Source organism: Homo sapiens, chromosome 12 (genome assembly GCF_000001405.40).
Source record: "Homo sapiens chromosome 12, GRCh38.p14 Primary Assembly".
Lineage (NCBI taxonomy): Eukaryota > Metazoa > Chordata > Mammalia > Primates > Hominidae > Homo > Homo sapiens.
The window spans coordinates 52,995,023-53,022,976 of NC_000012.12; the positions used below are offsets into that span (position 1 = coordinate 52,995,023).

At 43.9% G+C, this 27,954-nt stretch overlaps 1 protein-coding gene across 3 annotated transcripts in view, besides 3 other annotated features; it reads left to right on the forward strand.

Annotated features, from left to right (window-relative positions):
- Positions 8,227-8,389: a silencer, noted in NCBI's record as "fragment chr12:53397033-53397195 (GRCh37/hg19 assembly coordinates)". NCBI's record gives its function as "represses an EF-1alpha promoter that drives an FKBP-Casp9 reporter gene in an ReSE screen in K562 erythroleukemia cells {active_cell/tissue: K562}" and the evidence as "EXISTENCE:reporter gene assay evidence [ECO:0000049][PMID:32094911]".
- Positions 10,805-11,548: an enhancer, noted in NCBI's record as "NANOG-H3K27ac-H3K4me1 hESC enhancer chr12:53399611-53400354 (GRCh37/hg19 assembly coordinates)". NCBI's record gives its function as "activates a minimal SCP1, AML or CMV promoter by ChIP-STARR-seq in naive and primed H9 embryonic stem cells {active_cell/tissue: H9 hESC(naive and primed)}" and the evidence as "EXISTENCE:reporter gene assay evidence [ECO:0000049][PMID:30033119]".
- Positions 11,434-27,954, forward strand: part of EIF4B (eukaryotic translation initiation factor 4B) — a 35,760-nt gene continuing 19,239 nt past the window's right edge. For 2 of the 3 annotated variants that reach the window (NM_001300821.3, NM_001417.7), the window contains exons 1-6: positions 11,434-11,474; positions 21,451-21,588; positions 23,776-23,984; positions 24,888-25,004; positions 26,784-26,838; positions 27,471-27,605. In NM_001300821.3, coding sequence (NP_001287750.1) covers positions 11,462-11,474; positions 21,451-21,588; positions 23,776-23,984; positions 24,888-25,004; positions 26,784-26,838; positions 27,471-27,605 — 667 coding nt within the window. In that variant the 5' untranslated portion in view covers positions 11,434-11,461. The remainder of the gene's footprint in view (positions 11,475-21,450; positions 21,589-23,775; positions 23,985-24,887; positions 25,005-26,783; positions 26,839-27,470; positions 27,606-27,954) is intronic. The other variant, NM_001330654.2, reaches the window with a different exon arrangement.
- Positions 11,549-12,292: an enhancer, noted in NCBI's record as "NANOG-H3K27ac-H3K4me1 hESC enhancer chr12:53400355-53401098 (GRCh37/hg19 assembly coordinates)". NCBI's record gives its function as "activates a minimal SCP1, AML or CMV promoter by ChIP-STARR-seq in primed H9 embryonic stem cells {active_cell/tissue: H9 hESC(primed)}" and the evidence as "EXISTENCE:reporter gene assay evidence [ECO:0000049][PMID:30033119]".

Sequence of the window (27,954 nt, forward strand, 5' to 3'; positions counted from 1 at the left end):
GTTTGTTTGTTTGTTTGTTTTTGAGACAGGGTCTTCCTGTCACCCAGGTTGGAGTGCAGTGGCAATCACAGCTCAGTGCAATCTCGAACTCCCGGGCTCAAGTGACCCACCCACCTCAGCTTCCTGAGTAGCTGGGACTATGGGCACACACCACCACGCCCAGCTATTTTTTTTTTTTTTTTTTTTTTTTTTGTAGAAATAGGATTTCACCATGTTGCCCATGGCTGGTCTCCAATACCTGGGCTCAAGGGATCATCCTGCCTCGGCCTTCCAAAGTGTTGGGATTATAGGCATGAGCCACCACGCCTGGCCCAGTTCCCACTATGTTTTAGCTATAGTTGTATGTATTACATTTAAATACATTATAATTCCCCAAGACCATGTTCTAATATTTGCTTTTGGCAGTCAAGTGTATTTCAAATAAATTAAGAGGGGCAGGGCATGGTGGTTTATGCCTCTGTAATCCCAACACTTTGGGAGGCCGAGACAAGAGAACTGCTTGAGGCCAGGAGTTCGAGACCACCCTGGGCAACATAGTGAAATCCCAGTCTCTACCAAAAACATATAAAAAATAAAAATAAGCTGAGTGTGGTGGCACACACCTGTAGTCCCAGCTGCCTGGGGGGCTGAGGTAGGAGGATTGCTTGAGCACAGAGATTTAAGGCCACTGCACTCCAGCCTGGGTGACAGAATAAGACCTTGTCTCTTAAAAAAACACAGGGCCAAGCGCAATGGCTCACACCTGTAATCCCAGCACTTTGGGAAGCCGAGGCTTGATCACTCGAGGTCAGGAGTTCGTGACCAGCCTGGCCAACACGGTGAAACCCCATCTCTACTAAAAATAATCTGGGCGTCGTGGTGTGTGTGCCTGTAATCCCAGCTACTCAGGAGGCTGAGGCAGGAGAATCGCTTGAACCTGGGAAATGGAGGTTGTGGTGAGCCAAGATCGTGCCACTGCACTCCAGCCTGGATGACAGAATGAGCTTACAACTCAAAACAAAAAAAAAAAAAAGGCCCACAGAAAAGCAAATATGCGTATTATAGGGTTTTGGGGTTTTTTTGGTTTTTTTTGTTTGTTTGTTTTTGAGACAGAGTTTCACTCCTGTTGCCCAGGCTGGAGTGCAATGGCGTGATCTTGGCTCACTGCAACTTCCGCCTCCTGGGTTCAAAGCAATCCTCCTGTCTCAGCCTCCTGAGTAGATGGGATTAAGGGCGTCTGCCACTACACCCGGCTAACTTTGTATTTTTAGTAGAGATGGGGTTTCTCCATGTTGGTCAGGCTGGTTTTGAACTCCTGACCTCGGGTGATCCATCCGCCTTGGCCTCCTAAAGTGTTGAGATTACAGGCGTGAGCCACCGTGCCCGGCCTGTAGTATTTTTAATAAATAAATCATAAATAAAAATAATTTTGAAAAAGAAATTAAGACGAAAATATGCCTTTTACACTTACCTGGTAACCTACTATATAAATACTCTTTATTCCTTCCTAAATATATGCATTTCCCTCTGGTATCATTTCCCCTTAGTTTGAAGAACTTCCTTTAGTTTGGCTGTAATACAGTTCTTTCTTATCTTTTATTTTTTTGAGACGAGTCTCATTCTGTTGCCCAGGCTTGAGTGCAGTGGCGTGATCTTGGCTCACTGCAACCTCTGCCTCCCAGGTTCAAGGGATTCTCGTGCCTCAGCCTCCTGAGTAGCTGGGACTACAGGTGTGCACCACCACACTCAGCTAATTTTTTGTATTTTCAGTAGGGACGGGGTTGCCTGTTGCCCAGGCTGGTCTCAAACTCCTGAGCTCAGACAGTCTGCCCAACTCAGCCTCCGAAAGTGGTAGGATTACAGGCGTGAGCCACCTTGCCCAGCTGGCTTAAATACAGTCTATTGGCAATGAATTCTTAGTTTTCTTGTATCTGAATATGTGTTTATTTTGCCTACGTTTTTTTAAAAACAGCTTTGAGATACAGTTAACATACCAAACAATCCACCCATTGAAAGTATACAATTGGCCAGGTGTGGTGGCTCACACCTGTAATCCCAGCACTTTGGGAGGCTGAGGTGGGTAGATCACCTGAGATCAGGAGTTCGAGACCAGCCTGGCCAACATGGTGAAACCCCGTCTCTACTAAAAATACAAGTTAGCTAGGCGTGGTAGCCCATGCCTGTAATCCCAGCTACTCAGGAGGCTGAGGCAGAAGAATCGCTTGAACCCAGAAGGTGGAGGTTGCAGTGAGTCAAGATCGCACCATTGCACTCCAGCCTGGGCAACAAGAGTGAAACTTCATCTCAAAAATAAATAAATAAAAATAAAAATAAAATACACAAGCTGTTTTTAGTATGCTCACAGAGTGATGCAGCTATCATTACAATCAATTTTAGAGTATTTTCATTACCCTGAAAAAAAAACCGATACCCTTTAGCAGTTACCACTCCTTCTTCCATCCTCCCAACTTCTTCTGCCCCTACTTCTTCTATGCTCCCAAACTTAGACAGCCACTAATCCACTTTCTGTGCCTAGGAATTTATCCATTTCTTCTAGATTTCCAAAATTATTGACATATAGTTGCTCACAGTAGCCACTAATGATCATTTGAATTTCTGCAGTACTAGTTGTAATGTCTCCTTTTTCATTTCTGATTTTATTTATTCAGGTTTTCACTTTTTTTTTCTTAGTCTGGCTAAAGGTTTCTCAATCTCGTTCATCTTTTCAGGAAAACTTTTTGTTTTGTTGATCTTTTGTATTGTTTTCTTCATTTCAATTTCATTTATCTCTACTCTGATATTCATTATTTCTTTTCTTTTCTTTTTTTTTTTTTTTTTTTTTTTTTTTTTTTTTTTTAACTGAATCTCACTCTGTCGCCCAGGCTGGAGTGCAGTGGTGCAATCTCCACTTACTGCAACCTCTGCCTCCTGGGTTCAAGCAATTCTTCTGCCTCAGCCTCCCAAGTAGCTGGGACTACAGGTGCCCGCCACCACACCCAGCTAATTTTTTGTATTTTTAGTAGAGACGGGGTTTCACTATGTTGGCCAGGCTGGTCTCAAACTCCTGACCTCATGATCCACCCACCTCGGCCTCCCAAAGTGCTGGGATTACAGGCATGAGCCACCACACCTGGCCCATATCCTGGACATTGTGAATGTTACATTGTAGAGACTCTAGATTCTGTTATATCCTTTTGTGGTTATATCCTCCCAAAGATCTCCAAATCTAAATCCCTGGAACTTTTGAATATGTCATGTTACATGGCCAAGGGGAATTAAGGGTGTAAATGGAACTAAGTTTGCTAACCAGATCTTTTTTTTTTTTTTTGAGACGGAGTCTTGCTCTGTCACCCAGGCTGGAGTGCAGTGGCGCGATCTCAGCTCACTGCAACCTCTGCCTCCTGGGTTCAAGCAACTTGCATGCCTCAGCATCCGTAGCTGGGATTACAGGCACCTGCCATCACACCAGGCTAATTTTTGTATTTTTAGTAGAGATGGGGTTTCACCATGTTGGCCAGGCTGGTCTCAAACTCCTGACCTCAGGCAACGCACCCACCTTTGCCCCCCAAAGTGTAGGGATTACAGGCGTGAGCCACCGCACCTGGCCTGCTAACCAGATGATTTTAAGATAGGGAGATTGGCTGGGTGCAGTGGCTCAGGCCTGTAATCCCAGCACTTTGGGAGGCCAAAGTGGGCGCATCTCCTGAGGTCAGGAGTTCGAGACCAGCCTGCCCAACATGGCAAAATCCCGTCTTTACTAAAAATACAAATATTAGCCAGGCGTGGTGGCAGGCACCTGTAATCCCAGCTACTCAGGAGGCTGAGGCAAGAGAATTGCTTGAACCCAGGAGGTGGAGGTTGCAGTGAGCCAAGATTGCACCATTGCACTTCAGCCTGGGCGACAAAGCAAGACTTCATCTCAAAAAAAAAAAAAAAAGAGATTATACTGGATTATCCAAGTGAGCCTGATGTATTACAGAGGTCCTTAAAAGTGAAAGAGGGAAAAGCAGAAGAAAAGAGTCAAAGTGATTCAATGTAAGAAAGATTCAAACCTATGTTGCTACCTTTGAATACGGAGGAAGGGGACCATGAGTCAAGGAACATAGGCAGTCTATGAAAGCTGGAAAAGGCAAAAAACAGAACAAAACAAAAACCCTGGATTTTCCCCTAAAGCCTCCAGAAGGAACACAGTTTTGTTTGTTTTTTTGTTTTTTTTTTTGAGACGAAGTTTCACTCTTGTTGCCCAGGCTGGAGTCCAGTGGCATGATCTCAGCTCACTGCAACCTCCACCTCCCAGTTTCAAGTGATTCTCCTGCCTCAGCCTCCCGAGTAGCTGGGATTACAGGCATGCACCACCACACCCGGCTAATTTTGTATTTTTAGTAGAGACAGGGTTTCCCCATGTTGGTCAGACTGGTCTCGAACTCCCGACCTCAGGTGACCCACCCACTCTTGGCCTCCCAAAGTGCTGGGATTACAGGCGTGAGCCACGGCATCCGGCCACAGAAACACAGTCTGTCAACACCTTTATTTTAGCCCGGTGAAACCCATTTCAGACTCTGACCTCCAGAGTTGTAAAAGAATAACTCTATGTTGTTTTAAGCCGCTAAATTTCTGTTCATTTATTACTTCAAGAACAGGAAACTAATATGCCCTCCAAAGACGTTGATGTTTTTATTTTAGCAGGACATTAAATCGGTTAGACTCAAACTACAAACTCACTCACTTGAAATAGATAGCAGCTGGGATCTCAGTTTAAGTCTTTATTATTGTTTTCCTTAGCTGAACTGTTTGTACCCTGCTCTATGCATGCATGGTTCAAGGACCAGCCAGATTTGGGCAGAGTCTGAACACAGAACTCTGGCTCTCTTCTGTACAAGATTCCCCCCTCACTTTCTGGTAGTTGAGAATGTCTTGGTCAATGCCTTTCTCATGACACAAATGTGACACAAACTTCAGCCCCCGACACCCCACTATTCCACCCCAGTTCAGCACCTGCTTTCAAGTTTCAACTCCCCTCCAAAACTGCTTGCCTTTGTGCATTCTCCACAGCTTTCAGATAATTGTGGGTTTTCTCTTTTTATTTTTGTCCAGAGATTATCATTATCTATGACAGGATTGATCTGCTGGGAACTTATTTACCAAACCAGAAACAGAACCTGTACATAATATTCATATATATTTAAAATTAACCTCACACATTCGAAACTCAGCAATAAAAATATTTTATTCTGCAGAAATACACATCTTTAAAGTAGTGATATATATTGCTTGGGAGAGAAAACAGAAAACAATAATATATCCATTATTTTAGCTTCCTAACCTTAACAAAATAGAAGCGAGTGGAATAGGCAAGGCGCAGTGGCTCACGCCTGTAATCCCAGAACTTTGGGAGGCTGAGGCGGGCAGATTGCCTGAGCTCAGGAGTTCAAGACCAGACTGGGCAACATGATGAAACCTCGTCTCTACTAAAATACAAAAAATTGGCTGGGCGTGGCGGTGTGCACCTGTAGTCCCAGCTACTCACGAGGCTGAGGCAGGAGAACTGCCTGAACCTGGGAGGCAGAGGTTACAGTGAGCCAAGATTGCACCACTGCACTCCAGCCTGGTGACAGAGCGAGACTACGTCTCAAAAAAAAAAAAAAAAAAAAAAAATTCCTCACCTGGCATAATGTCCTCCAGGTTCATCCATGCTGTCAAAAATGGCAGGATTTTTTTTTCTTTTTTTTGAGTCTCACTCTGTCGTCCAGGGTGGAGTACAGTGGCTTGAACTTGGTTCACTGTAACCTCCGCCTCCTGGGTCAAGCAATTCTCCTGCCTCAGCCTCCCAAATAGTTGGGATTACAGGTGCCTGCCACCACGCCCAGCTAATTTTTGTATTTTATTTATTTATTTTTTTTTGAGACGGAGTTTTGCTCTTGTTGCCCAGGGTGGAGTGCAATGGTGCTATCTCAGCTCACCACAACCTCCACCTCCCAAGTTCAAGCAATTCTCCTGCCTCAGCCTCCCGAGTAGCTGGGATTACAGGCATGCGCTACCACATCTGGCTACTTTTGTGTTTTTAGTAGAGACGGGGTTTCTCCATGTTGATTAGGCTGGACTCCAACTCCCAACCTCAGGTGATCTGCCCACCTTGGCCTCCCAAAGTGCTGAGATTACAGGCGTGAGCCACTGCGCCCGACCTTTTTATTTTTTTTCAGTAGAGATGGGGCTTCACCATGTTGGCCAGGCTGGTCTCGAAATCCTGACCTCAAGTGATCCACCCAACTCGGCCTCCCAAAGTGCTGGGATTACAGGCGTGAGCCTCCATGCCTGGTTGGTACTTCTTGTTTCTGAATCTTGCTGTCATTACCTAAAAATGAGATTAATCTCATCAACCTTACAGGGCCACTGTGAAGACTAAATAAGCTAGTTCATTAAGTGTCATAACATTGGCATATTTTAAATGCTCAGTAACTAGAAGTCTCTCCCTACCCAATACATCCCTATTTTATTTGGCTTTTCTCTGAACCTTTTGAAATCTACTGCCTCCAATGGTCAACTTAATTCTTTTTTCTTTTTTTTTTTTTTTTTTGACGGAGTCTCGCTCTGCTGCCCAGGCTGGAGTGCAGTGGCACGATCTCGGCTCACTGCAAGCTCCGCCTCCCGGGTTCACGCCATTCTCCTGCCTCAGCATCCCGAGTAGCTGGAACTACAGGGGCCCGCCACTACGTCTGGCTAATTTTTTGTATTTTTAGTAGAGATGGGGTTTCATCATGTTAGCCAGGATGGTCTCGATCTCCTGACCTCGTGATCCGCCTGCCTTGGCCTCCCAAAGTGCTGGGATTACAGGCGTAAGCCACCGCACCCGGCCTGGTCAACTTAATTCTTAAGTTAATGGTCTTAATTCTCAGATTTCATTCCATTTTAATGATCCAAACCAGAAAAAATACAGAATCTCATGCTTCATCTCAGTCCTACTGAATTGGAATCTGACTTAAAAGTTAAAACAAATTCTCCAGGTGATTGGTAAACATTAAAATCTGAGAAGCACTGGACTAGTACATATCATAAACATAGCAGGGCCAAAACAGAGCCCACACACCCTCTACAAACCTGTTCCACCCAGGCTTTACCATCTAAGTAAAAGGCATCGCCCAGCAGCTCATGCCAAAATCTTAGGAGTTATCTTCAATAACTATTATAGTTATTTAGGCAAAAGTGCCTACAGCCCATGAAAAGTTACGTAGCCTGGGCAGCAACAACCATTTTTTCTCTAGGGATAGGGTCTGTTTCGCTCTGTTGCCCAGGCTGGAGTGTAATGGTGTGATTATAGCTCACTGCAGCCTCAAACTCTAGCCTGAAGCAATCCTTCCACCTCAGCCTCCCTAGTCGTTAGGGTTACAGGCAGGAGCCACAGCTCCTAGCTAGCAACAACTTTTTTTTTTTTTTTTTTTTTAAGACAGAGTCTCGCTCTGTCACCCAGGATGGAGTGCAGTGGCATGACCTCGGCTCACCGCAACCTCTGCCTGCTGGACTCAAGCGATTCTCCTGCCTCAGCCTCCCTGAGTAGCTGGGATTACAGGCGTGAGCACTTAGGGAGGCCGAGACGGGTGAGGTCAGGAGATTGAGACCATCCTGGCCAACATGGCAAAACCCTGTCTCTATTAAAATACAAAAATCAGCCAGGCATGGTGGCGTGTGCCTGTAGTTCCAGCTACTCAGGAGGCTGAGGCAGGGGAATAGCTTGAACCCGGGAGGTGGAGGTTGCAGTGAGCCGAGATAGCACCACTGCACTCCAGCCTGGTGAGACAGCAAGACTCCGTCTCAAAAAAAAAAAATTGTATTTTTAGTAGAGACAGGGTTTCGCCATGTTGGCCTGGCTGGTCTTGAACTCCTGATCTCAGGTGATCCGCTAGCCTCAGCCTCCCAAAGTGCAGGTGTGAGCCACCCCACTCAGCGGAGCAACAACCCTTTAACTGGACCTTCTCTTCCATTATTGTGTTACCAGAAAGGGGTCCAGATCCAGGCCCTACGAGAGGGTTCTTGGACCTCATGCAAGAAAGAATTCTGGGCAAGTCCAAAAAGTGAAAGTAAGTTTATTTGGAAAGCAAAGGAATAAAAGAATTGGCCAGGCATGGTGGCTCACACCCATAATCCCAGCACTTTGGGTGGCTGGAGCAGGCGGATCACTTGAGCTCAGGAGTTCAAGACCAGCCTGGGCAACACAGGGAAACCCCATCTCTACAAAAAAAAATACAAAAATCAGCTGGGCATGATGGCACATGCCTGTGGTCTGAGCTTCTCGGGAGGCTAAGGTAGGAAGACCGCTTTAGCCCGGGAGGTGGAGGTTGCAGTGAGCCATGATCTTGCCACTACACTCCAGCTTGGGTAACAAAGTGAGACCCTGTCTCAAAAAAAAAAAAGCCGGCCGGGCGCGGTGGCTCACGCCTGTAATCCCAGCACTTTGGGAGGCCGAGGCGGGCGGATCACGAGGTCAGGAGATCGAGACCATCCCGGCTAAAAACGGTGAAACCCCGTCTCTACTAAAAATACAAAAATTAGCCGGGCGTAGTGGCGGGCGCCTGTAGTCCCAGCTACTTGGGAGGCTGAGGCAGGAGAATGGCGTGAACCCGGGAGGCGGAGCTTGCAGTGAGCCGAGATCCCGCCACTGCACTCCAGCCTGGGCGACAGAGCGAGACTCCGTCTCAAAAAAAAAAAAAAAAAAAAAAAAAAGCCGGGCGCGGTGGCTCAAGCCTGTAATCCCAGCACTTTGGGAGGCCAAGGCGGGCGGATCACGAGGTCAGGAGATCGAGACCATCCTGGCTAACACGGTAAAACCCCGTCTCTACTAAAAATACAAAAAAAATTAGCCGGGCGCGGTGGCAGGCGCCTGTAGTCCCAGCTATTCGGGAGGCTGAGGCAGGAGAATGGCGTGAATCCGGGAGGCGGAGCTTGCAGTGAGCCGAGATCGCGCCACTGCACTCTAGCCTGGGCGCCAGAGCGAGACTCCGTATCAAAAAAAAAAAAAAAAAAGAAAAGAAAAAGGAATAAAAGAATGGCTACTCCATAGGCAGAGAGCAGCAGCATGGGCTGCTTGACTAAGAATACTTACCGTTATTTCTTGATTATATGGGAAACACGGGGTGGATTATTCATGTTTTCCCTGGAAAGAGGAGGGCGATTCCCGAACTGAGGGTTCCTCCCCCTTCCTCACATTGCCATGGCATCTGTAAACTGTCATGTCCTGGTGGGAGTATCTTTTACCATGCTAACGAATTATATTTAGCATATAATAAGCAGTGAGGAGAGGTCAATTTAGTCGCCATCTTGGTTTTGATGGGATTTGGCTGGCTTCTTTACTGCATGCTGTTTTATGAGCAAGGTCTTTGTGACCTATAACTTGTGTTGACCTCCTGTCTCATCCTGTGATTAAGAATGCCTAACATTCTGGGAATGCAGCCCAGTAGGTCTCAGACTTATTTTACCCAGCCCTATTCAAGGAGTTGCTCCGGTTCAAACACCTCTGACAATTGCACTCTCCATTCAGTAGCCTGAGTAATCTCTTTTTTTCTAATTAACGCGTGACTTACATAAAGTACACAAATCTTAAGTATTCACAAATCTTAAGTATACGAATTCTAGATATACACCCATGTAACCACCACTCACATCAGGATACTAAGTAATCCTTTTTAAAATTTTATTTCAACTCATGACATTTCTCTGCCTTAAATCATTCCACACTTTCCCAATCCCCTCACATGATCAGCCTCACATGATCCAGCCCCTCTCTCTCAAGATTCATCCTGTACCACTCCTCCCTCCCCTGCCCTCACCATATTGCAGCAAACCCAACTGCGCATCCTGTCTTCTCCTAAACCTCTTCAGAAGACATTCCCAGGGATGGCAGCTTGTAATTTAGACCTCTGTCTGAATGTCACTTCCTCAGAGGTCTACTCTGACAGGCAATCTAAAGTTGCACCTAATAACTTATTACACCACCTTGTTTTAATTACTCACAGAATACTTGTTGTAATATTTTATTAGTTGCTTATTATCTGTCCTTCCCCCACTAGAATATAACCTCTTTTGGGACAGTTCTATTCCATGTTGTACCCGCAAGTGTCTGTGCCTGGCACACGGTGGGAAACAAAAATTTTCATTTAATGAATGAAATGGAACATCAGCTAGGGGAAGCATGAATAGCCCTAGTCTCAGAAATCCTAAAGGCCTAAGTTGGACTAAACCTAGTCAGCAAATTGGACCATTAAATGAGGTAAAAGCCCATGACAATTAAGTGTTCAGCATTTGTTACCTTCTTATTCCGTCTAAATATGCCTCATTAAAACCATTCTTACACAAGACGTTCGATTTGTTTTGCCTTTACAAAAAGTAATTTGAAAACAAACAGTGGTTGATGCCTGTAATCCCGGCACTGTGGGAGGCCTCGGAGGGAGGAATGCTTGAGTCCAGGAGTTCGAGACCAGCCCAGGCGACACAGGGAGACACACCGCCCCCCCCAAGCCCGCCACTCTGTCTCCACACAAAGACTTTTTTTTAATTAGCTGGTCCTGGAGGCACTCGCCTGTGGTCCCAGCTACTCAGGAGGCTGAGGTGGAAGAACTGCTTGAGCCCCGGAGGTTGAGGCTGCAGTGAGCCGAGATCGCGCCACTGCACTCCAGCTTGGGAGACAGGGCGAGACCCCGTCTCAAAAAATAAAAATAAATAAAAATAAAATCAGTGATTTCTGATGTGGCTTTTAAAAACTAGGCCGGGCGCGGTGGCTCACGCCTATAATCCAGCACTTTGGGAGGCCGAGGCGGGTGGATAGCCTGAGACCAGGAGTTCAAGACCAGCATGGCCAATATGGTGAAATATCCCGTTTCTACTAAAAATACAAAAAACTAGCAGCGAATGGTGGTGGGCGCCTGTAATCCCAGCTACTCCAGAGGCTGAGGCAGGTGAATCGCCTGAACCCGAGAGGCGGGGGTTGCAATGAGCCGAGGTCGCGCACGCCATTGCACTCCAGCCCGGACAACAGGAGCGAAACTCCGTCTCAAAAAAGTACATTAAACTCAGAATCTTCCCTTTCAGCACATCCATTTCGCCACACCCATCACCGGCTCCGTGCAGAGTAAGCAGAAGCAGCAGCGAAGCCCCGCCCTTCCCGCCACTCTTCCGGCAGGAAGTCTGTGCGTCAGGAGGCCGGCCAGGACTCAGCTCCAGCCCCGCGCTCGCGTGTAGCCCTACGTAAAGCGTGAGGGGTTTCGCGACAACCCAGGCCCCGCCCCTTTGGCCACATGTCGCGCATGTCTTCCCGTCGGACGGCGTGCCACCTCGCCGCGCAGCTTTACGAACCTAGAGCAGCGCCGCCCCGCCTCCTGTCTCCGTCCTCACCTCCCCGCCCCCTCCCAGCTTCGCGTCTCCTAGCTCGACGCGCCCGCTATAATCACGTGATTGCCTCATCCGGGTCTTTTGCGTTCTCTTTCCCTCTCCCAACATGGCGGCCTCAGGTGAGCGAGCAGCCGAGCGCGGCCAAGGACTGGGCTCTGAAACCCCCCTCCGAGCGTGATCCACTGATTTCCTGAAGTCGGGGAATTGCTGGCACTGGTTCCTTTCTGAATTGAGGGCTGCGGCAGGCTGGCGGCGTGGCCCTGTTAGGTTACTGCCTCTGGATGTTTGGGGGGGAGGGGAAGGACACCTTCCCCTCCCCCTCACACTCTTTTCACCCTTTCTGCGCGAGATTGGAATAGGCAGTAATGGTAGACTCTGGCTTGAATTGGGGAAGGAGGCGCAGAAAGGTGTGCGGGTGGTGCGAGGCCTTTTCGTAGACGTGAATCACCGTGCCCGCGTGAAGGCGTGGAGGAAGGAAGGAGGCGGTTGCTGCGCGGACGAGTGCACATTAGACTACGTCTCCAAGGCGCGAGGCTGTAGCGGACCGGAGTGGGGGGTAGGGGAGTAAGTGTGGTGGGGGGGAGCAGTTGGAACGCGAGCGCGAGTTGGTGGAGGGGCGGGGGAAGGCAGCGGTGCGCGTGCGCGGTAGGAGACACGAGGGTAGTAGAGACGGGCGCGCCTTCAATGCGTGCGCTAGAACCCAGATGGGAAGCTTTTTAACGCGCCTGTGTTGCGCACTTATGTCCTTTTAGGTTGTCTCTTCCCTTTCTAGAGTGTGGGCCCTGTGCCTGTATTCTTCTAAGGGTGTGTGTGTTAGCCTTGGAGGTTGGTGCTATTGGCGTTAGATGGGGGTGGGGAATCCAGTTAGGTGCGCCCACGTGTTGGAGAAGCACCGGTGTGCACCTAGATTTCCTTCTAGGCTTTTTTCTCATACTCAATTGGAGGCATTTTTTACTCAGCGCAGCTATATGCCAGGATCAGGTTTCGCTTCCGGCGCTTCCATGTTGGTTGAATTTGGATAGCTCCAATGGTAGATTTCAGCCTTTTTTTTTTTTTTTTTTTTTTTTTTTTAAGGTAACTGTGCAACTACCAGCAGGTACTTTTAAAATAGTGCTTACTAATGGCTGGAGTTGCTTACTTCTTTAGACAACCTTGGAGGGGAGTATCAGTGCCTTGCAAGTCTAATTACATTTCTAATGGGCTTATAAAAGCAGTGATGACCCAACATCTTGTAGCATTGATTTTAGTTTGAGGAATATAGTTTGTTTTCTCTGGCATGACCTTGCATTCTTCAAAACATTATTTGAACTTCTATCTCTGGGTGCTCATTTCTTACCTAGTAATTCATCGTCTCTATTACAAAGAAGCTAAGGGTTTTGGTTGGCTTTGGAAAATGTTGAGAAATTTGAGGTGCATTTGAACATCTTTCATTGGTGTAACGCTTGACAGTTGACCAAGCACTTTTGTGCATGTTGTCTCCTTCCATCCTGAGGTACTGCAGAGAGCTAGTGGTATTTCTCAGCTAAGGAATATTATTTAAGGCCACACTGCTCTCAGCTGGCAGAGCAAGGTCATAATCTTTGAGACTCCTTAGCAACTTAAAAGTATCAAGGTGTCATCATCAGTTTAGGACGCTGCCCGAAAGCATCTGAAGTTTACAAAAATGTTCATATTTTTTTCTCCAGTGGGCTAGTAAAAGTCCTAAATATATTTTAAACTAACCATTGCTTAAAGTACTTACTTGGTCTGGATTTGCCACCTTAACAGTTTAGTATCGTAATTTAGTGAAGAAAATCTGTGTTTTCTTAACTTTTGTGTAATTTTTAGAGGCGGAACATAGGACAGCAATTCATGTCCTTCGTTTTACCGAGTTGAGGGAAATCCAGACTGATAAAAGGGATTTACTCTGACGTCCCATTCTCTTGTTCTTCCATATTTACTCTACCCCCTTGAAAACCCTCATCTCCTTTAATTCACTTCAGTAAATCTTTTTAGCTGGTACTGGTATCTGAGCACAAGTCACATCTTTCAGTCTGTTCTTGAGGAATCTGGGGTTTATCGGATTGTTTCCCCGCTCCTCTTTCCAGTCACACTGGCTTTGTGAAGTAACCAGTATTCCCTGATGTGGGAAATGGATGTTATGTGTTCTGTGTGAAAATACATAAAACAACTTCATACGCCTCTTTTACTGTTAAATGAGACCAAAAAATTCTTTGCAGCAATACCAGTTTCCAGTGTGATCCATTATTGACCTTCAAGAACTAAGGTAGGTCTCAGAACTAACTATAGAATGAGGATAGTTTGAATTCCTAGAAACTTGATACATTGAGCCAGTACACTTAATTCCTTGCTTTGCTTCTTAAAAAGAATTCTTAAAGGCCGGGCGCGGTGGCTCACGCCTGTAATCCCAGCACTTCGGGAGGTCGAGGCGGGCGGATCACTAGGTCAGGAGTTGGAGACCAACCTGACCAACATGGTGAAACTCTGTCTCTACTAAAAATACAAAAATTAGCTGGGCGTGGTGTCGCGTGCTTGTAATCCCAGCTACTCCGGAGGCTGAGGCAGGAGAATCGCTTCAATCTGGGAGGGGGAGATTGCAGTGAACCGAGATTGTGCCATTGCACTCCAGCCTGGGCAAAAGAGCAAGACTCCATTTCAAAAAAAAATCTTAAAAATACGAAGTTTTTCATTTTTCTTAAATTTTCATTGTGACTACTTTAGTAGACTTGCCAGTAATAAGCCAGTTACCGCTTGAATCTCAGTTTCTTTATCTGGAAAGTGGTCATTATTTATCTGCTGTCCCCTTACCTAGAGGGAATCAAATGCGTTTGATACAGGTTAACATTTAAAATGCTTTCAAATTGGGCAGGGTGCAGTGGCTCATGCCTGTAATCCCAGCACTTTGGGAAGCTGAGGTGGGTGAAACACCTGAGAACAGGAGTTCGAGACCAGCCTGGCCAACATGGTGAAACCCAGTCTCCACTAAAAATACAAAAATTAGCGGGGTTTTGGGCTGGGCGTGGTGGCTCACGCCTGTAATCCAGGAGGCAGAGGTTGCAGTGAATTGAGATTGCACCACTGCCCTCCGGCCTGGGCGACAGAGCGAGACTCCGTCTCAAAAAAAAAAAACAAAAACAAACTTTAAAATTGGAAATAACATATGTAAGCTCATGCACAGGCCTTTCATTTCCATAATGCTTCAAAATGCAGTCCTGTGTGACATCTTATTTGATTATTTTTATAGGGAGAAGATGCTCTGCAGTGGTTGTTTTCATACACTGCTGACTCTCACAGTGAAATGGTTTTAAGGGGTGCCATTATATATTGCTTACAGATTCCCTAGTGTCAAGTTCCATCCTCTATCATGTATATGTTATTCTGTGAGTAAGATACCCAGAAGGCCAAAATTAAAACTCTTTATGAAAGTTTAAATACAAATACAGAATAGTGTCAATTAAGATAAAGCAGTGTTTCTAAGTAATGTCATTGAAAAAAGAGGTATATTTCATCTCAAAACATTCTGGAATTCTCTTTTCGTGATGGTAGAGGAAATAACTGAACTTGAGTACAGTATTTTAAGTAATTATTTGTAATTAGGTTTGCCTTATGTACATTTATGAGCCAGTTTCTTAAATTTGTAGTAGATACTGCTATGGTCCTGATAGTGGGAAAGTACCAAATCAAGAAGTTTAACTTGAATTTGTGTACCTCCTGTCTCCCATTTTGTGTAATGGTTAGCATGGCATGCATTGGGCACTTATTTTGTTTGATTATGTATATGATCAAATTGAGTATCCCTGGAGGGATAAGGAAAAGGTAGTATGGCATCTTCTGTCAAAATGAAGTAATTGGGCACAGAGAGGTCATGTAACTGAACCCGTACGGGGGTCAAGATGGTGGAGCTTATGAGTTTTGACTCAGTCTTTACTATGCTAAACTTACCCAATCCCCAACTAAATCAAAAGGTGGCTTGCACTGGGATCTTTTTGACTTTACAATGGGTTTATCCGGATAGTAAATGCATTTTTTTACTTGAGAAGGGTTTATCCTGACAGTCTCATCATAAGTCAGGGAGCATCTATATAGTGCAGTAAAGGTGAAGGTGAAATATTGTATTACATTGCATGAAATGTCTTTTCATGGCTGGGCTGTAAACACCAATATAATTAGTCTAATTCTAGGCACTCTGGGTGGATCGATTGTGTTTATGCAATGTTGTTGGTTTAGGGAAACATTTGTTATTCATTATTTAAAGTAGCTTTTGTTTTGTTTGTTTTTGTTTTTGTTTTGAGACAGAGTCTCACTATGGCTCAGGCTGGAGTGCAGTGGCGTGGTCTCAGCTCACTGCAATCTCCACCTCCTGGGTTCAAGCGGTTCTAGAGATGGAGTTTCACCATGTTGGCCAGGCTGGTCTCGAGCTCCCGACCTCAGGTGATCTTCCCACCTTGGCCTCCCGGAGTACTGGGATTACAGGCATGAGCCACCACACCTGGCCTAAAGTAGCTTTTAATTATGGAGAATGTGGCAGAACTCACTTTTAGTAACAGCTTTATTCAATGTAATTTGTATACCATAAAATTTACACTTTTAAAGTATACAGTTTGGACCGTGTGCAGTGGCTCACTCCTGTAATCCCAGCACTTTGGGATGCCAAGGCAAGAGGATCACTTAAGCCCAGGAATTCAAGACCAGCCTAAGTAACATAGTGAGACCACGTCTCTACAAAAAAAATTTTAAAAATTAGCCAGGGGTGGTGGCATGTACCTGTGGTCCCAGCTACTTGGGAGGCTGCAGTGGGAGGATTGCTTAAGCCCTGGAGGTCAAGGCTGCAGTGAGCCATTATCTCACTACTGTACTCCAGCCTGGGTGACAGAGCAAGACCCTGTATGATTTGGTGGGGTTTAGTATATTCAGAGATGTTCAACCATCATTATTATCTAATTTCAGAACCTTTTTATCACCCCCAAAGAAAAGTCCTTTATATAGGACTAACAATTCCTTTTCATTTATCTTTTTATTTATTGAAGTGAAACATCACTTAGAACATGGTTCTCAGCTAAGGGACAGTCTTTTCATCCCAAACCCTCATCCCACCCCAGAGCATTTGGCAGTGTCCAGAGACGCTTTTGGTTGTCAGAGTGGAATGGGGATCGGGGATTACTATTGGCATCTAATGAGCAGAATCAGAGATAACTGCTAAAATCCCCCCATGACAAATTACCTAAGCTAAAATATCAGCAGTGCTGAGATAGAGAAACTCTGAGTTAAGAAGTAGGCTGTATTTATTTTAGTATCTATTATAACAAATCCTGTTTATTAAGAAAACCATGAATGTGTTGTCTCTTGTTTAACGGCTTCTGGACTTAGCAATATTTCCGTTTTTAAGATCTTTTATTAAACCTGTATGGGTATATAAAGAGCTGGAGGTGTGTTTTCCCCACTGTAGACCATGTATAAATAATTGGGACAGGTTTTGTTTTGTGAGGTGATTGATTTGTTAACTTTTTAACCAGTTCACATAAGATTTAGAGAAAATTAAAGAATTGGACCAGTTCATTGTTGAATTGCAAAGGATTGATAAACCTGGAGCATTAAACAGTGCTTTACTTATAAAGCAGAGGGAACACTGTTGAAATCTAAACATGTAATGGGCCTAGGTATTGAGGGAGCAAAGGGCATGGAGGATTTAGATAACATCTTTTCTCAGTTAACTGGAATGAAACGGAGTGGAACAAACACGGGCACCTACTTTAGGTTTATTGATTTTGCTTTCCAAGGGCTAATTCCTTTAAACCTGCTGCTTATATTTTGACTGAGTCAGTGCTGCTGCTACAGTTAAATAAGTTGAAGATCTTGTAAGGAATTTTAGCCTGTTTTTTTAAGACTCATCTAACAGGTGGGGCGCAGTAGCTCAGGCCTGTAATCCCAGCACTTTGGGATACAGAGGCGGGCAGATCACCTGGGGTTGGGAGTTGGAGACCAGCCTGACCAACATGGAGAAACCCCATCTCTATTAAAAATACAAAATTAGCCAGGTGTGGTGGTGCATGCCGGTAATCCTCGCTACTTGGGAGGCTGAGGCAGGAGAATCGCTTGAACCCGGGAGGCGGAGGTTTCGGTGAGCCGAGATTCCACCATTGCACTCCAGCCTAGGCAACAAGAGCAAAATTTCTGTCTCAAAAAAAAAGACTTATCCAACAGTAATTTCTTTTTTTTTTCCTTTTTTTTTTTTTCTTTTTTTTGTGGGGGACGGAGTCTCGCTTTGTAGCCCAGGCTGGAGTGCAGTGGCACGATCTCAGCTCACTGCAAGCTCCGCCTCCCGGGTTCACGCCATTCTCCTGCCTCAGCCTCCCGAGTAGCTAGGACCACAGGTGCCCGCCACCATGCCCGGCTAATTTTTTTGTATTTTTAGTAGAGACGGGGTTTCACCATGTTAGCCAGGATGGTCTCGATCTCCTGACCTCGTGATCCACCCGCCTCGGCCTCCCAAAGTGCTGGGATTACAGGCGTGAGCCACCACACCCAACAGTAATTTCTTAACCAGAGGGCCTGGGAGTGGGTGGCAATCAGAGGAGGGGGAGACTTGTGATTTGAAAAGACATTCTAAGATTTAAAAGTGCTTTTAATATTTTTTAGTCATGATATTTAATTTGTTTGGAAATTTCAAATAACGTTAAAGAAGAAACTTGTTTGTCAAAGGAGTCAAGGGGTGAGAGTTGAGAAACTGTGATCTACAAAGTTGATTTAAGCCAAATCGGACTAAAGGGCAGATTAATTCCACATTCTGCTGTTTTGGTAGAAGATACGTATATAGAACAAAGAGGAAAGGGATACCTTATTCAGATTGTTAATGTTCTTTTGTTGAACTTGACCTTATTGTACTGACCACCAGTTCTGTTTTTATCCTCCCAGTGGAAGGACAGGTTAATAATTGGATATTAGCTGATGGTACTAGATTAAGCCCCATGAGGGTAAGGATCTGTAGCTAGCATCATATTAATCCCAGACACTATTTTTGAATTAAATGATATGAAAAAGTCTAAAATAAGCCCACGCACTGTAAGTGGTTTACCTCATGTCTTACTCGTGTTCGCTTATTAAAATCTCCCATAGATCTTTGCATATGAGGCTGGGCACAGTGGCTCATGCCTGTAATCGCAGCATTTTGGGAGGCCGAGGTGGGTGGATCATTTGGGGTCAGGAGTTTGAGACCAGCCTGGCCAACATGGTGAAACCCCATCTCTACTAAAAATACAAAAATTAGCCAGGCTTGGTGGCACATGCCTGTAATCCCAGTTACTCAGGAGGCTGAGGCAGGAGAATCACTTGAACCTGGGAGGCAGAGGTTATAGTGAGCCAAGATGGCGCCACTGCACTCCAGCCTGGACAAGAGTGAGACTCCCTCTAAAAAAAAAAAAAAACCTTTGCATATGAGCTGCAGCAATAAAAGTGCTATGAGACCCAACCTCTCTGTAACCGTATTCTTTGAAAGCTGTGGAATAAGGCCAAGTGCAGTGGCTCACATCTAATCCCAGCACTTTGGAAGGCTGAGACGGGTGGACCACTTGAGGCCAGGAGTTGAAGACCAATCTGGGCAGTGTAGCAAGACCCCTGCCTCTACAAAAAATTTTAAAATTAGCTGGGCATGGTGGTGCATGCCTATAGTCCCAGCTACTCAAGAGGCTACAGTGGGAGAATTGCTTGAGCCCAAAAGGTCAAAGCTGCAGTGAGCCACGATTGCACCACTGCAAAAAAAGAAAAAAGAAAAAGCAGGCCGGGCGCGTTGGCTCACGTCTGTAATCCCAGCACTTTGGGAGGCTAATCACGAGGTCAGGAGATCAAGACCATCCTGGCTAACACTGTGAAACTAAAAAAAAAAAAAAAATTAGCCTGGCGTGGTGGCACGCGCCTGTAGTCCCAGCCACTTGGGAGGCTGAGGCAGGAGAAATTGCTTGAACCTGGGAGGCGGAGGTTGCAGTGAACTGAGATCGCGCCACTGCACTCCAGCCTGTATGACAAAGCGAGACTCCGTCTCAAAAAAAAAAAAAAAAGCGTAGGATGGATTCAAAATGTGATCTGGTTGATCATAAACAATACTTTTGGAGCTGGATTAATATTAAGTCACTTGAGAGATACAGAAAATACCATGTTCGTGGTCAACTTTGATTATTTTAGCCGGGTTCATCTGGTTTGCACATTGAGACCGTAATACTTCAGGTTCTAATTGTGTCCAGAAGGCTATGTGTTAACATTCATAGCAAACTGGTTACCTTTATTTCCTGAAAGTTAAATTTTGAAAGAAAGGGATACCAAGTGAGAAAGCAACCTTCAGTTAAACAAAGGGGTACATCAAGTTTGATATTCTTGGATTAAAAATCAGGTGACAATTGGAACATGGAGGAGAAATTCATGATTATAAAAACCATGAAGCCAATCTTTTTTACAACAAAGCTGCTTGTTTTTTTCTTAATCATGTAGTGGCTGCTATCAGGCCAGTTCTGGAACTTCACTGAGTCCCTCTGCTCTTCTGAATCAGCTCTTGATTGGTGGTGACTTCTCGGAAGTTCTGAGGACCACAAAGAAAGAGCAGTGTCAGTTCACTAAGTTGAGCCATTTGGAGATTACTAAATATTCCATAACTGTGGGAAACACTTAAATGTGTTGGTTATTAGGGTTTTCGTGTGTTTTCCTTTTAGCATTACATCCTCATATGCAGTGTTGTTATAGTAGAGGAGGACATTTTTTCTAGAGGGCAGAGAGATCTAGGGAATATGACTGTTAACATTTGAACACTTTCAAATAGCAGTACGTTTTACTGTGGTTTTGATAACCTGACATAGAATAAGCTGCTGAGATGCAAGGATACCTTGGTATATAGAAAGAGCCTTAGACTTCGTATGAAAAAAACTTAGGTTTTATCTTCAGCCTAGCCATCTAATGTCTCTGTAACTTTACAGACATCTGGTGTTTCACTTAACCTCTCTGAGACTTAGTTTCCTTTTCTGTAAATTGATAGTTGTGGCCAGGCACCATGGCTCATACCTGTAATCCCAGCATTTTGGGAGGCTGAGGCAGGAGGATCACTTGAGCCTGGGATCCTCCAGGATACTTGAGACCAGCCTGGGCAACATAGGGAATTAAAAAACTTTTTAAAAATCAGCTGGGCGTGGTAGTGTGCCTCTGTGGTCCCAGCTATTGAGGAGGCTGTGGGAGGATCACATGAGCATGGGAGGGTTGAGGCTTCAGATAGCCGTGGCCACACCACTGCACTACAGCCTGGACAACAGAGCAAGACCCTGTCTCAAAAAAAAAAAATGGGGCCGGGTGTGGCGGTTCACACCGTAATCCCAGCACTTTCGGAGGCCGAGGCAGGAGGATCACCTGAGGTTAGGAGTTCAAGACCAGCCTGGCCAACATGGTGAAACCCCGTCTCTACTAAAAACACAAAAAATTAGCTGGGCATGGTGGCGGGTGCCTGTAATCCCAAGTATTCGGGAGGCTGAGGCAGGAGAATTGCTTGAACCCAGGAGGCAGGGGTTGCAGTGAGCCGAGATGGCACCATTGCACTCCAGCCTGGACAACAAGAGCAAGACTCTGTCTCAAAAAAAAAAAAAAAAAGACAGTTGTGATTCCTTCCCTATATGGTTTGTTTACAAGTGTCAAAACAGTCTTCAAAACTGCCATACTGAATATGTTATGTGAGATACGAATTTTTATTGATCTTTTTTATCCAAAGAGCAGTGAAAGTAGTAACTGAATAGAAGTAGTTACAAAATTAAAGATCTCAAATGATAAGTGAATATAGTAGAAAATAAAAGGTTGCCCCCACACTCCAAACATACTCTCCAGGGTGTATCTCAAACACTCAGACCCTTTTCCGTACGTAAACATGTGTTTACACATAATAGGTATTCTGCAACTTTTAAATTTCTTATTTATGTCTGCATAGTACCCCTTCATGGAAATGCCATAATTTAACCATTTGAGGAGCGTCCATGTTATTTCTTTCTAAATAATGTTTTACAATATTGCATTGTACAACTCTGTAAATACCTGAGTATTGGTGAATAATCTTTCTCTTGCCTTTTAAAACAGCAAAAAAGAAGAATAAGAAGGGGAAGACTATCTCCCTAACAGACTTTCTGGCTGAGGATGGGGGTACTGGTGGAGGAAGCACCTATGTTTCCAAACCAGTCAGCTGGGCTGATGAAACGGATGACCTGGAAGGAGATGGTAACTTTTCTTTTGTCATCGTGTTTGGAATGTTTATTATTTTCTAGACAAAACCTATTACATAATAATTCACATCGTTTGTAATCTGAAAAGAACTTACTCATTTTTTAGCACCTGAAATCTTACATATTTTATAGAATCTAAGGTTTAATCTGAGGTTTGGGCTGTCAGACTTTGCAGTGAAGACTGAAGTGGTCATTTAAGAGAGCTTTGCTAGTTCTTGTTCTTGCATTAACAGACTTCTTAAGTTACTATTCTTTTGGGCCTCATTTTCTTCATTTTAAAAGTAAGAACTAGATCATCTTTTAAAATTCCTTTTAGGTCTAAAATTCTATGGGGTCCTCATAAAGTGATGTTTCAGGCTGCTCGCGATGGCTTACACCTGTAATCCCAGCACTTTGGGAGGCCGAGGTGGGCAGATCACATGAGATGAGAAGTTCAAGACCAGCCTGGCCAACATGGTGAAAACCCATCTCTACTAAAAATACAAAAATTAGCTGGGCGTGGTGGCATGTGCCTGTAATTTCAGCTACTCGGGAGGCTGGGGCAGGAGAATTGCTTGAACCTGGGAGGCGGAGGGTGCAGTGAGCTGAGATCATGCCACTGCACTCCAGCGTGGGAGACAGAGCGAGACTCCATCTCAAAAAAAAAAAAAAAGTGATGTTTCAGTGTAATCTGTAAGCTATGTTTACTCAGAGCCAAGGAATAATTAGTTCCAGGTGTCATTAGTATAAAATCAGAGTGTCCTTGGGTAAACGAAAATGGTCTGAGGAAAAGGAGTGAGAACAGTAATTATGGTGGGAAAATAAAGAAGAGTCAATTGGACAAGTTCTGTGCCTTCAGGGAGTCGCCAGGAATAATAAGGAGCTATGTTTTATAATGACCGGGTATGACATAAATCTCATTACCATTGTTTTTTTCCTGAAAATCGTTTATTGCATGCTGAAAGAATATTTTTTCCTATGACCTGTTTTCATAATTCCTAAAAACAGGAAATTTTTTTTGAGACAGAGTCTCTATTGCCCAGGCTGGGGTGCAAGTGGCGCACTCTCTGCTCACTGCAACATCTGCTCCCGGGGTTCAAGCGATTCTCCTGCCTCAGCCGCCTGAGTAGTTGGGATTACAGGTGCCCGCCACCGCGCCCAGCAAATTTTGTATTTTTAGTAGAATCAGGGTTTTACCATTTTGGCCAGGCTGGTCTTGAACTCCTGACCTCATGACCCACCTGCCTCAGCCTCCCAAAGTGCTGGGATTACAGGCATGAGCCACTGCACCCGGCCAAAACAGGAAATTTTATATAGGTCGTACTTCCCATAGGTGTTGGTATCTGAAGTACAAATTCATGGACAGTGCTGTAGGAAAAGATTTTTGTTGTGATATTTTTGTTTGTTTGTTTTCAGATGGAGTCTCACTCTGTCGCCCAGGTTGTAGTGCAGTGGCACAATATCTTGGCCCACTGCAACTGCCGCCTCCCGGTTCAATAGATTGTCCTGTCTCAGCCTCCCAAGTAGATGGGATTACTGGCACATGCCACCACACCTGGCTAATTTTTGTATTTTTAGTAGAGACAGGGTTTCACCATAATGGTCAGGCTGGTCTCAAACCTGACCTCAGGTGATCACCCACCTTGGCCTCCCGAAGTGTTGGGATTATAGGTGTGAGCCACCGAGCCAGGCCTGTTGTTGTTTTTAAGGGAGGATAGACCATGCAGAAAAATACTCAACTTCAAACTCACCACTAGGAATACAAGAGTTGTCAGTAGTGGTTAAATATACCTGGAGTAAGAGGGACCCAGGTTTGAATCCTAGCTTTACCGTCTGTGACCTTGGGCAAATTACTGTCTGAAATCTGAGTTTGCTTTTCTGTAGAATGGGGGACAACCTCACAGGACTGTTAAAAAGATAAGATGGGATATAATGAATATAAAGTAGCTGGCACACAGTAATATTCCATAAAGAGTTGTATTTATGGAATAATATTTCTTTGCTTACATAAAGATTAAGGTGTCATAATTAATCTCAGAAGCTTCTCTTCGTAAAGTGCCCTTATTACTGAACCCCCACTTTTTTTGGTCTGGTTTTCTTGTATAGCATGTTTAATATTTGGCAATTAACATGGGTCCTCTTGTTCTATGACAGTAGTGAGAGAAGTTTCTTCTAATTTCTTACATTCATTCCTCTATCCTAGTTTCGACCACTTGGCACAGTAACGATGACGATGTGTATAGGGCGCCTCCAATTGACCGTTCCATCCTTCCCACTGCTCCACGGGCTGCTCGGGAACCCAATATCGACCGGAGCCGTCTTCCCAAATCGCCACCCTACACTGCTTTTCTAGGAAACCTACCCTATGATGTTACAGAAGAGTCAATTAAGGAATTCTTTCGAGGATTAAATGTAAGTGTAAAAGTTGTAATAATTAACTAGATATTGAGGATAATGTCTAAAAAAGACTAATTGTGGAATGGGCAGTTGCTGTTGAAAAAACAACTAGAAATATAATTTAAGGCCGGGAATGGTGGCTCACGCCTGTAATCCCAGCACTCTGGGAGTCTGAGGCGGGTGGATCATTTGAGGTCAGGAATTCGAGTCCAGCCTGGCTAACGTGGTGAGACCCTGTCTCTACTAAGAATACAAAAATTAGCTGGGCGTGGTGGTACACGTCTGTAATCCCAGCTACTTGGGAGGCTGAGGTAGGAGAATTGCTTGAACCTGGAAGACGGAGGTTGTGGTGAGCCGAGATTGCGCCATTGCACTCCAGCCTGGGCAACAAGAGTGAAACACCATCTCAAAGAAAAAAAATAAAATCAAAATTATATATATATATATTTTTTTTTTTTCTTTTTTTTTTTTTTTTTTTTTTTTGAGACAGAGTCTCATTCTGTCATCCAGGCTGGAGTACAGTGGATTACATGCCCAGCTAATTTTTTGTATTTAGTAGAGATAGGGTTGCACTATGTTGGTCAGGCTGGTCTTGAACTCCTGACCTCAGAGGATCCACCTGCTTCGGCCTCCCAAAGTGCTGGGACTACAGGCATGAGCCACTGCACCTGGCCTGAATTAATCTTTTTTTTTTTTTTTTTAGAGTTAAATTCATACAGTTCAAAATTCAGAAGGTATAATAGGGCATTTAGTAAAGTTTCTACTATCCCTCTGCATCAGTTTTCCTCCTGAGACAACCATGTTCTTGTGTATTCAGAAAAATTCATGCACATACAGTAATGCTTTTGTAGTCCTCTCAAAAAATGACAAATGAAGAAGAATGCTGGGAAACTTTGTTGTTGATTCTTATTCCTTCAGATCAGTGCAGTGCGTTTACCACGTGAACCCAGCAATCCAGAGAGGTTGAAAGGTTTTGGTTATGCTGAATTTGAGGACCTGGATTCCCTGCTCAGTGCCCTGAGTCTCAATGAAGAGGTAAAGAAAATAAGAGTGGGGATATGAGGGGTGTAAGTTCACAAATCTCATGTTTATTGATCAAACTGGTATTTTTTAGGTTGAGAGGCTCACTTCAAAGATTCCCATATCTACAAATAAAGGCCTGCATTATTTAACAGTGTATCACTTAACATCGAACATCTAGCAAGTCACACTTCAGCAAATTCAGTAGGCCCCAATAATTTAGATAGGTACTTAGGTGGAAAGTTGTGGAAGAAACCCACCACACACCAGGTCTCTAATTAAGTCTTACACTGATTTACCCACAGTGTTGCCTCAACTCTTATGGCATTGCTTTTTCAAAGTAATCTGGCCTGATAAAGGCAAATAGAAAAATCAAGTTTGTTTAGTATTAAAGGCATATCTCATTTTCAGGGAAGTGTTGTAATGGTATATTTGTTCATTTAAGAGGATTTGGAAACATTTCCTACAAAGGAATATTTTACAGGAGAGTGACAATAAATATCTAGTCCTTCTGCTTGTCAACACTGCCCACAAAGGTTTTCCTGTCCCAGGACTTGAGGGGCTTATATCTCAGAAGAAAAAAGACTTTTTTCCTCCTTTAACTCCAAAAACACCTTATTGTTTATTGATAAGGCAATTTCTAGTGCCATTTGTGCCATATTTCTGTAGTCCTATTTTGCCATATGACATGATTGAAATCAACACCTCTTAGAAATAGTTTTGCTGCCTCATAATTGATTACCATCATGATAACCTGTAGTCAGTGTGAAATAGAGATAAAAATTAATGTACTTAGTTAAATGCATATGAAGGTCTAATCTTGTTCCAGAGTTACTCTTACTGGATTATTTTTAGATTTTTATTAACATTACTGGTCTCTAACTTTACTCAGTCTGGATAAGAAAAAGAATACCATGCAATTGTTAACTATTTGATGTTTACTAGATTAACTATTAATATATTGTTGTGGTCCATAGTTAAGAGTTACTTTGTTACTAGAGATTTCATTATAGTGGTGTTTAATATAGTTTTGGGTATTTTTAACTAAAAATCATTGTTATCCTTCAACTGTAGATTCTACTATGAAATGAGGAAAAATCAGCAATAGAATTAATTGGGTTCAAAGTATATAAATAATGATGTGGGAAAGGGAAGTCAGAGGGTATCTCTGGAAGAACTGATTTATCTGAAGGTAATACTGAGTGAAAGAACCTAAGATTGTAGACAAAGCATGCTTTATGCAATTTTGCTGGTACATAGTAGTAGTAGAGGCTCTATAAATGTGTTGGGTGTTTTTGTTTTTAAGAGACAGTGTCTCGCTATATTGCCCAGGCTGGATTTGAACTCCTGGGCTTAAGTGATCCTCCAGCCTCAGCCTCCCAAATAGCTGAGACTGTAGGTACATGCCACTGCACCTGGCTTCTATAAATTTTGATAAATAATTGTTGTGGCACCAAATATGCCTTTTATTCAGCTAGTTATGTGAGAATTATTTTTAATTTACTACACTTGACAAATTACCTTGGATAGTTAAAAAGTTAATTCTATTCTGTGAAATTAAGCTTTGTAAAAATAGTATAATTGACCTAATATTCAAGGCCAGCTTAAATTTGTTTAACTTTTAAGTCTTTTAAAGGACTCTTTAGCCCACAAATTGGAGTGTTAGCTAGATTACAGTGTTTTCCTTTATCTTCCTTCCCCTAGTGCTTCTGCTATGCCCAGACGTTCAAGGTCACTCAAGGGATTTGTGCATAATGGGGCAAAAGGTTGGTTAATATGGTCCTATGCTCTCAGTCTCTAGGTAACAGGAGAATTCGAGTGGACGTTGCTGATCAAGCACAGGATAAAGGTAAGGAAACTGGTAGAGATTTCTGTTTGGTAATGGTCCCAGGATGACACCAAGCCATCCTTTCCCAGAAAATTTGAATAGGGGTAGTGGTGGGCCTGCCTGAATCTACAGTAACAGTTTTCAATCAGTTTTGCCCCACAGGGGACTTCTGGCAATGTTTGAAGACATTGTAGTTGTCACAATTGGAGGGAGTGCTGCTGACATAAGTAGAATCCAGGGGTTAATTCTATAGGGAATAGGACAGTCCCCATCAACAAAGAATTATGCAGCCCAAAATGCATGTCAAGATTGAGAAGACTGATTGATCTAGATGAACATTAAATAGATGATAAATAGATTAGCTGCCTAACAGCACGTTGGTCACAAAGGGGACCTAATTTGTATATGTTTCAGGGACTCCTGGCCCATACAGAATTTGAGATAGCTAAGCATTAAACCAATAGGAAAAAACGGGAGGAAAAGAGCCACCTGGGGTTGAATTGGAGCATGTACTTATGGGGCCTGAGGTAACTGGGATGACAGTGTGACGTGAAAGTGAAAAATAGGGTAAAATGGGGGTTTTCTATGTGTGAGAAATATTGGGCAAAGTTTTTATGAGATAACTTACGGTTTTTGTTTTAATGTATCTGTAGACAGGGATGATCGTTCTTTTGGCCGTGATAGAAATCGGGATTCTGACAAAACAGATACAGACTGGAGGGCTCGTCCTGCTACAGACAGCTTTGATGACTACCCACCTAGAAGAGGTGATGATAGCTTTGGAGACAGTAAGTTTGTTTTTATGAAGTTAGCTTCCTCTGTGCTTTGGGAGGCTATTTAGTAATAGGACAAATGTGTTACAGATGATCAGATCACATTAACAGATAGAAGGAGGAAAGCAGATTAAGAAAAATTTTGGATAGTATCTGAAAGAACTGATAGATGCAGGAAACGAATTTGATAAATTAATAATTTTTTTTGAAAACTTAACCAAACAAAGGGACAGACATTTCTCTTTTTTTGGAGACAATTGTTTATAAAGAAACCCAAACTGGGCATGGTGGCTATAATCCCAACGCTTTGGGAGGTCAAGGCAGGTGGATTGCTTAAGGCCAGGAGTTTGAGAGCAGCCTGGGC